A 12,251-nucleotide genomic window follows, 5' to 3' on the forward strand; every position below is an offset into this window, starting at 1 on the left:
GTCCATTCCCCTCCTTTTCTTGCCTTGATTTGGTAGAGGGATAGACTTGGATACAAACTAGAATGGATTCATTCTTCTCTGGAGTTAGTGTAACAAGACATTTAGCTGCTCAACACAAAAACAGAAACAAAAAAATTGTGTGGTTTCAGCAGTGCTATACAATTACTTTTTCTGACCTTTAATGGAGAGAAACACCACTTCTTTGGTCCCTACCATCAGCTTCATAGGGTTTTCATCCTGTTCTGTTTCTGGGAGGGCGTAACTGGCCATGCACAAGTTTTTTTTCTCTAATCAGAGTATGTGCCACTTCTGACCACCAGTAGATGAAAACGAATGGAAACCAGGCTATTATATGATACATATCCATTACAAAATAAGACATGAAACTCAAAGGTACTTTATGGTATAATGGGGCATATATTCCTGGACAATTCTTAATGGTCACAGATTTTATAAAAGGACTATTAGTAAATGTATGAATTACAGAGTAATTTATCCTTCTGTTAGTAAGAACCAGCTGATGACCTCAGTGTCAGGTGCATCGTGGAAGGTGTTGGGACCTTCCCTTGCCACCACCCTCACCAGCCATCATCAGCCATAACCTGCACATTGGGGAAGTTTTGACTTATCCCTCACTTTTGCCCCTCTTCAAGCTGTTCTTTCCACAGTGAATGAGAAGGCCACTTCTTCCTTCAAACCTTTCAGTGGTTTCCATTTTCCTTTAGACAAAGTCTCTGCCTAGCTGGCCTCTGCCTGCCCCTCCTGCCTACCTCTCGAGCACTGCCCCCACCTAGGGCTCTGGTTCCCCAACCTTCACTCGGTCCTGCCACACCTCCCAGCCCCTTCTCCCTTCAGAACTTTCCTTCTTGTTGTCCCCAACACTGGGACACAAAACCCTCCTTATCAACCCTCCTTATCTGGCTGACTCTTACAAGATCAGAAACCTGTGTAATGCTCTCATGGCACGCTCCCCTTGTCTTCGTGGATTTCTCAGATGGGAAGGAATTATCCATGCAATCACACATAAACTTCTACCTACCCTCCCCTAGTAGCTGTCTGCTGCTAAGGATGGGGACCATTCTCACTTACTCACTGTTCTGTCCCTCTGCCCAGTCCAGATGTGTTGAAGGATGGAAATATACAGAGTAGTGGTAAAATATAAACCGTTCAGACATTCCAAGGATGGGCTCATGTGCTTTGACTCATTAATGTACCACTGCTGAAAACAGAACACAGCCGCAGTCTTGCCAGTAAGAGTGCAGTTACTGTAATTAATGAATTTGCTAATTAAGCCATGATTTCATACTGAACTTATGACCAACATATTGAGAAGGTGTGTCTTCAAGAAAATTTATTTTTTGTATTAAGATATTTACTCCAAAGCTAATTGAAGAAGCCAAATCTAGGCTCTGGTTTCACCATTGCCAGGGAAATGAGCTCATGGACTCCTATGAACTGATGATGTTAGATCAGAAGTTTCTCAAGGCCAGGGCCCAATCACTGCTGAGGCGTCAACAGTAGTTCCTTGTACATCAATAATTCTCATTACTTTTAAAAAATAACAGATGAATAGCAACTATTTTCCCTGTAGCTCCCTTGCTGTGCCTCCTACCCTCCACCACATGTTTCTGGGGAGCCCTGCTTCGGGCCTGCCAACTACAGAGAATTACTTTTGAGTATCCCTTCCACTCTCATCTCAAGACAGAGTTCATCTACCTTTGGGTTATTTGTCAAAAATGTGTCATTTTATTACAAAAAATATACAATCATCATGTATTTTGATTAAATTTTACACTAGATTATTAAAATTATTAAATACAATTATTAAAATTAATAATTTAACATATCACATATTTTAAATATATTGTATATAATGAATAATAATATAATTATTGTCTATTTTAATTCAATAAATGTATAGTAAGTTAGCCAGTTGTAAATTACTGAGAACACTCTACTGAAAAAGCATCATTTCAAATACACTATTTAAAATATTAAATGAAATACAATAACATAATTAAACTAATCTTTGGTTCCCCTATTTATGTATTCATTTATCCAACAAAATCTCCTTAAGTGCTTATAATGGGTAGGTCCTGGCTCGGTGTCCCCTAGACAGACGCATGGGCCTTCCCCCAGCCCGTCAGTATGGTGCAGGTGTGATGTGTCCGCAGGTGTGTGTGTATGTGTGCAGGTGTGGGGTCCGCAGGCGTGCTGGGCCCCCAGGCCGTGTTCCCCTTCCCCTCCCCGGTTGTAGATTTCAGCTGTTGCTGCCAGACCTGACCGGTTCCGGAGGTGGCCGCGCCCCACTCACTGTCGCCTGCTTTCCACAGGGGACAAGGGCCTGTCCGACACGCCCTACGACAGCAGCGCCAGCTACGAGAAGGAGAACGAAATGATGAAGTCCCACGTGATGGACCAAGCCATCAACAACGCCATCAACTACCTGGGGGCCGAGTCCCTGCGCCCGCTGGTGCAGACGCCCCCGGGCGGTTCCGAGGTGGTCCCGGTCATCAGCCCGATGTACCAGCTGCACAAGCCGCTCGCGGAGGGCACCCCGCGCTCCAACCACTCGGCCCAGGACAGCGCCGTGGAGAACCTGCTGCTGCTCTCCAAGGCCAAGTTGGTGCCCTCGGAGCGCGAGGCGTCCCCGAGCAACAGCTGCCAAGACTCCACGGACACCGAGAGCAACAACGAGGAGCAGCGCAGCGGTCTCATCTACCTGACCAACCACATCGCCCCGCACGCGCGCAACGGGCTGTCGCTCAAGGAGGAGCACCGCGCCTACGACCTGCTGCGCGCCGCCTCCGAGAACTCGCAGGACGCGCTCCGCGTGGTCAGCACCAGCGGGGAGCAGATGAAGGTGTACAAGTGCGAACACTGCCGGGTGCTCTTCCTGGATCACGTCATGTACACCATCCACATGGGCTGCCACGGCTTCCGTGATCCTTTTGAGTGCAACATGTGCGGCTACCACAGCCAGGACCGGTACGAGTTCTCGTCGCACATAACGCGAGGGGAGCACCGCTTCCACATGAGCTAAAGCCCTCCCGCGCCCCCACCCCAGACCCCGAGCCACCCCAGGAAAAGCACAAGGACTGCCGCCTTCTCGCTCCCGCCAGCAGCATAGACTGGACTGGACCAGACAATGTTGTGTTTGGATTTGTAACTGTTTTTTGTTTTTTGTTTGAGTTGGTTGATTGGGGTTTGATTTGCTTTTGAAAAGATTTTTATTTTTAGAGGCAGGGCTGCATTGGGAGCATCCAGAACTGCTACCTTCCTAGATGTTTCCCCAGACCGCTGGCTGAGATTCCCTCACCTGTCGCTTCCTAGAATCCCCTTCTCCAAACGATTAGTCTAAATTTTCAGAGAGAAATAGATAAAACACGCCACAGCCTGGGAAGGAGCGTGCTCTACCCTGTGCTAAGCACGGGGTTCGCGCACCAGGTGTCTTTTTCCAGTCCCCAGAAGCAGAGAGCACAGCCCCTGCTGTGTGGGTCTGCAGGTGAGCAGACAGGACAGGTGTGCCGCCACCCAAGTGCCAAGACACAGCAGGGCCAACAACCTGTGCCCAGGCCAGCTTCGAGCTACATGCATCTAGGGCGGAGAGGCTGCACTTGTGAGAGAAAATACTATTTCAAGTCATATTCTGCGTAGGAAAATGAATTGGTTGGGGAAAGTCGTGTCTGTCAGACTGCCCTGGGTGGAGGGAGACGCCGGGCTAGAGCCTTTGGGATCGTCCTGGATTCACTGGCTTTGCGGAGGCTGCTCAGATGGCCTGAGCCTCCCGAGGCTTGCTGCCCCGTAGGAGGAGACTGTCTTCCCGTGGGCATATCTGGGGAGCCCTGTTCCCCGCTTTTTCACTCCCATACCTTTAATGGCCCCCAAAATCTGTCACTACAATTTAAACACCAGTCCCGAAATTTGGATCTTCTTTCTTTTTGAATCTCTCAAACGGCAACATTCCTCAGAAACCAAAGCTTTATTTCAAATCTCTTCCTTCCCTGGCTGGTTCCATCTAGTACCAGAGGCCTCTTTTCCTGAAGAAATCCAATCCTAGCCCTCATTTTAATTATGTACATCTGTTTGTAGCCACAAGCCTGAATTTCTCAGTGTTGGTAAGTTTCTTTACCTACCCTCACTATATATTATTCTCGTTTTAAAACCCATAAAGGAGTGATTTAGAACAGTCATTAATTTTCAACTCAATGAAATATGTGAAGCCCAGCATCTCTGTTGCTAACACACAGAGCTCACCTGTTTGAAACCAAGCTTTCAAACATGTTGAAGCTCTTTACTGTAAAGGCAAGCCAGCATGTGTGTCCACACATACATAGGATGGCTGGCTCTGCACCTGTAGGATATTGGAATGCACAGGGCAATTGAGGGACTGAGCCAGACCTTCGGAGAGTAATGCCACCAGATCCCCTAGGAAAGAGGAGGCAAATGGCACTGCAGGTGAGAACCCCGCCCATCCGTGCTATGACATGGAGGCACTGAAGCCCGAGGAAGGTGTGTGGAGATTCTAATCCCAACAAGCAAGGGTCTCCTTCAAGATTAATGCTATCAATCATTAAGGTCATTACTCTCAACCACCTAGGCAATGAAGAATATACCATTTCAAATATTTACAGTACTTGTCTTCACCAACACTGTCCCAAGGTGAAATGAAGCAACAGAGAGGAAATTGTACATAAGTACCTCAGCATTTAATCCAAACAGGGGTTCTTAGTCTCAGCACTATGACATTTTGGGCTGACTACTTATTTGTTAGGCGGGAGCTCTCCTGTGCATTGTAGGATAATTAGCAGTATCCCTGGTGGCTACCCAATAGACGCCAGTAGCACCCCGAATTGACAACCCAAACTCTCCAGACATCACCAACTGTCCCCTGCGAGGAGAAATCACTCCTGGGGGAGAACCACTGACCCAAATGAATTCTAAACCAATCAAATGTCTGGGAAGCCCTCCAAGAAAAAAAATAGAAAAGCACTTGAAGAATATTCCCAATATTCCCGGTCAGCAGTATCAAGGCTGACTTGTGTTCATGTGGAGTCATTATAAATTCTATAAATCAATTATTCCCCTTCGGTCTTAAAAATATATTTCCTCATAAACATTTGAGTTTTGTTGAAAAGATGGAGTTTACAAAGATACCATTCTTGAGTCATGGATTTCTCTGCTCACAGAAGGGTGTGGCATTTGGAAACGGGAATAAACAAAATTGCTGCACCAATGCACTGAGTGAAGGAAGAGAGACAGAGGATCAAGGGCTTTAGACAGCACTCCTTCAATATGCAATCACAGAGAAAGATGCGCCTTATCCAAGTTAATATCTCTAAGGTGAGAGCCTTCTTAGAGTCAGTTTGTTGCAAATTTCACCTACTCTGTTCTTTTCCATCCATCCCCCTGAGTCAGTTGGTTGAAGGGAGTTATTTTTTCAAGTGGAATTCAAACAAAGCTCAAACCAGAACTGTAAATAGTGATTGCAGGAATTCTTTTCTAAACTGCTTTGCCCTTTCCTCTCACTGCCTTTTATAGCCAATATAAATGTCTCTTTGCACACCTTTTGTTGTGGTTTTATATTGTAACACCATTTTTCTTTGAAACTATTGTATTTAAAGTAAGGTTTCATATTATGTCAGCAAGTAATTAACTTATGTTTAAAAGGTGGCCATATCATGTACCAAAAGTTGCTGAAGTTTCTCTTCTAGCTGGTAAAGTAGGAGTTTGCATGACTTCACACTTTTTTTGCGTAGTTTCTTCTGTTGTATGATGGCGTGAGTGTGTGTCTTGGGTACCGCTGTGTACTACTGTGTGCCTAGATTCCATGCACTCTCGTTGTGTTTGAAGTAAATATTGGAGACCGGAGGGTAACAGGTTGGCCTGTTGATTACAGCTAGTAATCGCTGTGTCTTGTTCCGCCCCCTCCCTGACACCCCAGCTTCCCAGGATGTGGAAAGCCTGGATCTCAGCTCCTTGCCCCATATCCCTTCTGTAATTTGTACCTAAAGAGTGTGATTATCCTAATTCAAGAGTCACTAAAACTCATCACATTATCATTGCATATCAGCAAAGGGTAAAGTCCTAGCACCAATTGCTTCACATACCAGCATGTTCCATTTCCAATTTAGAATTAGCCACATAATAAAATCTTAGAATCTTCCTTGAGAAAGAGCTGCCTGAGATGTAGTTTTGTTATATGGTTCCCCACCGACCATTTTTGTGCTTTTTTCTTGTTTTGTTTTGTTTTGACTGCACTGTGAGTTTTGTAGTGTCCTCTTCTTGCCAAAACAAACGCGAGATGAACTGGACTTATGTAGACAAATCGTGATGCCAGTGTATCCTTCCTTTCTTCAGTTCCAGCAATAATGAATGGTCAACTTTTTTAAAATCTAGATCTCTCTCATTCATTTCAATGTATTTTTACTTTAAGATGAACCAAAATTATTAGACTTATTTAAGATGTACAGGCATCAGAAAAAAGAAGCACATAATGCTTTTGGTGCGATGGCACTCACTGTGAACATGTGTAACCACATATTAATATGCAATATTGTTTCCAATACTTTCTAATACAGTTTTTTATAATGTTGTGTGTGGTGATTGTTCAGGTCGAATCTGTTGTATCCAGTACAGCTTTAGGTCTTCAGCTGCCCTTCTGGCGAGTACATGCACAGGATTGTAAATGAGAAATGCAGTCATATTTCCAGTCTGCCTCTATGATGATGTTAAATTATTGCTGTTTAGCTGTGAACAAGGGATGTACCACTGGAGGAATAGAGTATCCTTTTGTACACATTTTGAAATGCTTCTTCTGTAGTGATAGAACAAATAAATGCAACGAATACTCTGTCTGCCCTATCCCGTGAAGTCCACACTGGCGTAAGAGAAGGCCCAGCAGAGCAGGAATCTGCCTAGACTTTCTCCCAATGAGATCCCAATATGAGAGGGAGAAGAGATGGGCCTCAGGACAGCTGCAATACCACTTGGGAACACATGTGGTGTCTTGATGTGGCCAGCGCAGCAGTTCAGCACAACGTACCTCCCATCTACAACAGTGCTGGACGTGGGAATTCTAAGTCCCAGTCTTGAGGGTGGGTGGAGATGGAGGGCAACAAGAGATACATTTCCAGTTCTCCACTGCAGCATGCTTCAGTCATTCTGTGAGTGGCCGGGCCCAGGGCCCTCACAATTTCACTACCTTGTCTTTTACATAGTCATAAGAATTATCCTCAACATAGCCTTTTGACGCTGTAAATCTTGAGTATTCATTTACCCTTTTCTGATCTCCTGGAAACAGCTGCCTGCCTGCATTGCACTTCTCTTCCCGAGGAGTGGGGTAAATTTAAAAGTCAAGTTATAGTTTGGATGTTAGTATAGAATTTTGAAATTGGGAATTAAAAATCAGGACTGGGGACTGGGAGACCAAAAATTTCTGATCCCATTTCTGATGGATGTGTCACACCTTTTCTGTCAAAATAAAATGTCTTGGAGGTTATGACTCCTTGGTGAAACCTTCTCACATTCTCATTGGAAGCATATGGGTTCTCAAGGAACGAAATCCCTTTGGCTGTTCCCAAAACTCATGTCTTTTCTTTTATGGCCTTACAACTCCAACACAGGGCTAGGCACAAAAGACACACTCAAGGGATTGAGCAATTGGTAAAAGACCTGGAGGAAGTTTGACAACCAAGACCGAAACTCCACGTTCCTCCAAAGCCCAGGAAATCCTTCTGAAAACTTCTGGCCTTTTCTCTGCACCAGAACCCAGAACGGGCTGGCACAGTGTTGCTGTGCGGAGCTGAAGGCAAAATGTTGCTGTTGCCTGCACAGATCTGTCTTCTCTGCCTTTTTGCAAATCATCCGCCCCTAACTTCCTCTAAGGAGGCAGAAAGGGATTCCCCGTGGCTCTTAGAATAGCAACCCTGCCCTCAGCATCCTAGGCTCCCACTGGCTTCTCCTGCCATTAAACAGGCCTGAGCAAAACCATTCCCTAGTTTTGAGTTGCCATGAGACTCCCTCACCGACTCCAGCCTTGCCCCGGCTCCAGTGCCTCCAATGATCTCCCAGGACTTTGTTTCCCAAATGCAGCTTGTAATCATCTGAGTGGCTGTTAAAAATGCAGCTTTCAGAAGCCTCCTCCTGAACATTCTGGAGCTGGAGGTCTGGACACAGCCCACCCTCGAGGTGTGGGACCAGCCACCAAGTCGTGCTAAGCAGACTCCCAGTCCATTCCTCCTAGAGACAGTTACAGCCTTGCCTCTCTTCCTGGGCCCAAACCCATTTTTGGAAGGGAGGGGAGGAACCAATAATAGTCTCTTTTTTTTCCCCCTGAGTTTGAAACAACCCAGATATTATAGATAAAAGAATCAACAAGTGGGAAACCAAAAAACTAGCTTTCTTACTCATAAAACCGAGATGAGAGGACACAGCTTCACGGTGTGACCCCAGCGGGCATTACACTCGTTCTGCATTAGACAGACTTGCCCACCTGGCCACAGGTAGCAATTAAACTTAGGAGGCCCCAGCAAAGGCTGAGCCCCTGCCCTGCAGGACAGGGAGAGGGGACCAGAACCTACACCCTATAGGCAGCAGACCCCCGTGCAGCAATAGGAAGCGCACTCGGTTCCTACGTCCAGACTCAAGTCCAGGCCACTCCTTTCCTCCTGGGGTCCAGCAAGGGGTTTTACCAAAGTCCATCCACATGGAGACAGGAGTGAGAAAATAGAGTCCACAGCCATCCCTGCATCACCCCTGGATCTCAGCCTGTTTACCTTAATGGAGAAGCCAAGCCTGTTCACCTGGCCCTCCATGGTCCACTAAGATGGAAGGCCATGCCCCAGCTGCCACTGGTCTCCACAGTGACCCTCAGTGTCACACAGTCTCTCTCCCTGGCCCTCCTTCAATGGGAGCCTCCTAAAGGCCTCCTTACCTCCCAAGTCTCCTTAATCCTACCTAGACTTTTGACTTCTCAATAGTGATTGTGTTAAACCAGGAACCTGATCAATCACTGACACTGCCCTGCACACAGATCTCCCCTGGTTTCCTGCTACTCCAAAGCCAAGTGCCATTTCCTCAGCCAGGAGCACAAGGTGGCCCTGCCTTAGAGGTGTCCCTCTGGGCATGTTAAGATGTGCATAAGGCATGGTGATTAGGAATGGGACTCTGGAGCTGCGAAGCCTGGGTGTGAATATCTGCTCTGTACATTAACGCTGTGTGACATGGGACACATGGTCTAACCTCTTTGAGCCCCAGTTTTCTCCTCACTGAAAGCCTGGAGGGTTACAGGAAGGATTAAATCCTCAGTGTCTGTGGACCACTGGACTCAGTGCTGTGGGAGTGGCTGCTCAGCCTTTCCTGCCTCACCTGGCGTTTGTATAGCTCCTTCTAGCCCCCTTATCTCATTCCAGCTGCATGACAGCCAAGTGAGACAGGGACCCATCCACATCCCCCTTAGAGATCAAACAATTGTGTCTGCGAAGCAGCAAACCTCCTTCTCAGCCATCACCATGCTGGGCATGTTCTGGGTGAGCCTGGGGAAGATGATATGTGCCCCATCGTAAAGTGAAAGAACTGCATCTCAGGGCTCCACAGAGCACCCAGAGTCCAGTGCTGCAGAGGCAGGATGGGCCCAGGCCCCTCAAGCCCATTCTTCTCTTGGCTCCTGTTCCATCTCGGCAGTGCTTCCTCCAGGGAGGATGTGGGATTTGATACGTGGGAATGACAGGGTTTGGCAATCCCATAGCTTCTGAATTCCAGGGAGGGGAGGAGAAAGATGCGGGTGAAAACCTGCTTTCAGAGGGTTTTCCCTTGGCTGCCTCCTCAACCAAACTCACCCACAAATTGCATGTCAAGTTTCCCAACCTCCACCTAGGGGAGCAGGCTCTTTCACTTCAGAGAATTCAGAGGCATCTCGAGGGCATATGCCAGGGCAGGCACAGAGTGAGGAGGTGGGGTTGGGGGTTTTTGGACAGCTCTGGTCCCCTCCAGCCCCACAGAGCATGCAATGTGGCTGATGCTGCTGGAGAGCTGGTCTCTGAAAGGAGAATGCATGAATCTGAACTAGAAACAGAAGGGCAGAAGGACCAGGAAAAGAAATGAGAGCCAAACAGAGTCTGAGCAATGAAAGGATGTTTCAGAGAGCTGAAAACACAAGCTAAGCTAAGCATCAGTGGACTGGGAGAGCTCTGAAAAATATCAGGGAGCCTAGAGGTATCTAGTCAAAGATGAGTACAATTACAACCAATAAACTCAAGACCAAGGACAAGAGCAGGGACATTTCCCCCAATTAGACAGTGCCCCCTCTGTGTCCCTGCCCCCAACACACATTGACACATTTGACTTTTGACTCCATTCTGTTCTCTCTGCACTGCATCTTGTCTCTGGCTCTTCTTAATCTTAAGATCCTTCATTGGTTTGTTGAATAACTTGAGCTGCAAAGCAGAGACTGGGAAGTTGGAAATAAAGTAAATCAATATCTTCTTGATAAAAGAGACACTCCTGACATCACATAATGACTTGACCCACTCACATCACATCGCTCCTCAGCCTTCAGTGCCTGGCTATGTGCTGGGATCAAGGCTCACAGCATCACAGGGGTTGGGCGCTGTAACCACCTGCTTGTGCCATGTGTACTCCCTGTCTGTCTCTACAAGTACCATTGTCACCTCCAGTTCTGCAGATGAGGACTTCGAAGCTTGGAAAAGCTGAGTAACCTGCCTGGGGTCACACAGCTGGAAATACTAGGACCAGCACTTGTCCCTGAGCACCTGACTCCTGTGCCTGCACTCTAGAAAGCACAGGGAGAAATGACCCAGCACAAAGGTGATTACAAAACAAGGTGCAATGAAAAGCGCTCTAAAGTGCTGTAAAAGCCCAGTGGAAGGAAACATCACTTCTCACTTGAGGATTACAGAAGGCTTCCTGGAAGAGATCTTGTCTGATCCCAGCTTTTCGGAATGATTGGGATTTTGATGTTGGAAGCAGAGGATTGGGGGTGTAAGAAGGGCATTCAAGACAGAACAAATGTGAATGAAATCTGTTGTATGTCAGAACCAGAAGTCCAACAGCAATAGCCCTGTTTGTCTGGGAAAGAGTACTCAAGGGGAAAAAAATAGGAGATAAATTCAGAAATGTAGACTGAGGATAGGAGGAGTTTGAACAGGTGGATAGGGAGGCATCCAGGAGTCTTAGGAGGTGAGGGGGAGGGGGTGATGCAATGAGAACTCTGGAGACAGTGAAGGGGGCCATGCCATCCAGGCAGAAGAGAGGCTTTACCCACAGCAAGGATGCTGACACTAACCAGCAGAAGTCAGGAGAGGAGAGAAGCAGAGAAGAGAGGACTGGACTCTGCCACTAGAACGCAGGCTCCAAGAGCAGGGATTTTTTGTATTTATTTAATGCCATATCCTCAGTGTCAAAAAGAGTACCTGGAACATATTAGATGCTCAATAAATATTTGTTGCATAACATCTTTTTAAGATAATTAAATCTATTGTGCTTTGACGAGAGGTAAGGAGGTGAAACCCAGTCTCAGAGCCTATATGAGCCATTACTGAGAAAAGGGAAAATGGGCAGAGGATTGGAGGAGGGGAACTTGGCTTTGTGTAAGCATGGGTGGGACAGCCGGGTCCCCATGGATGGCCAATGCATTTGGGAGTCATGAGGCATAGGCTACTATAATGGGAGCTGTGACAGGTACATGTCGCCTCAGGAAAGAGGTGGAGGGTAGGGGATGGTTCTGGGGAGCGTGGGGAGAGGAGAAGCAGGAGGAATTAGGCAAAGGAAATAAGAGGGGCTTTTCCAGATAGGAAAACTCATTGGGGACAGCATCTCAGAATTGTTTTTTTAATTCAAAAGAAGAGGCCCACAAATAGGTTCAACAAAGCCAATGCAATAAGGAAGGGGGCAGAGATGAGACCACTGAGTCAAGTGTTTAGGATGCTGGCAATGACCTTCAAGTGGTGGGTGACAGTGGACTGCAAGGGTGGGCAGAGATGGGCTCTGGAGAGCAGCCGGCAAAGAAGACAGGACCCTGCAATGCAGCCCAGGCCTCATGGAGGCCGATGCTTTGGAAAGGCCAAGTTCTTGGCTGCACTTTTCTAAGGAGAAAGGTAAGAGCCTCATGGGGATACTCCCTTGCTTTTTCTGCTTTTTGACATGGCCAAGACAGGAACAAGGCAGACATCCCTAGAACTCTGTCTCCTGTCCACGTCTGGGATCTGGGCTTCTCAAGGCAGGCTGCATCA

At 47.0% G+C, this 12,251-nt stretch overlaps 1 protein-coding gene across 59 annotated transcripts in view; it reads left to right on the top strand.

Annotated features, from left to right (window-relative positions):
- Nucleotides 1-7,517, top strand: part of IKZF1 (IKAROS family zinc finger 1) — a 101,647-nt gene extending 94,130 nt beyond the window's left edge. For all 59 annotated transcript variants that reach the window (XM_011515058.3, XM_011515059.4, XM_011515067.4 and 56 more), the window contains one exon: nt 2,334-7,517. In XM_011515058.3, the coding sequence (XP_011513360.1) occupies nt 2,334-3,043 (710 nt within the window). In that variant the 3' untranslated portion in view covers nt 3,044-7,517. The remainder of the gene's footprint in view (nt 1-2,333) is intronic.

The sequence above is a fragment of the Homo sapiens genome, chromosome 7 (genome assembly GCF_000001405.40).
Source record: "Homo sapiens chromosome 7, GRCh38.p14 Primary Assembly".
NCBI classification, from domain to species: Eukaryota; Metazoa; Chordata; class Mammalia; order Primates; family Hominidae; genus Homo; species Homo sapiens.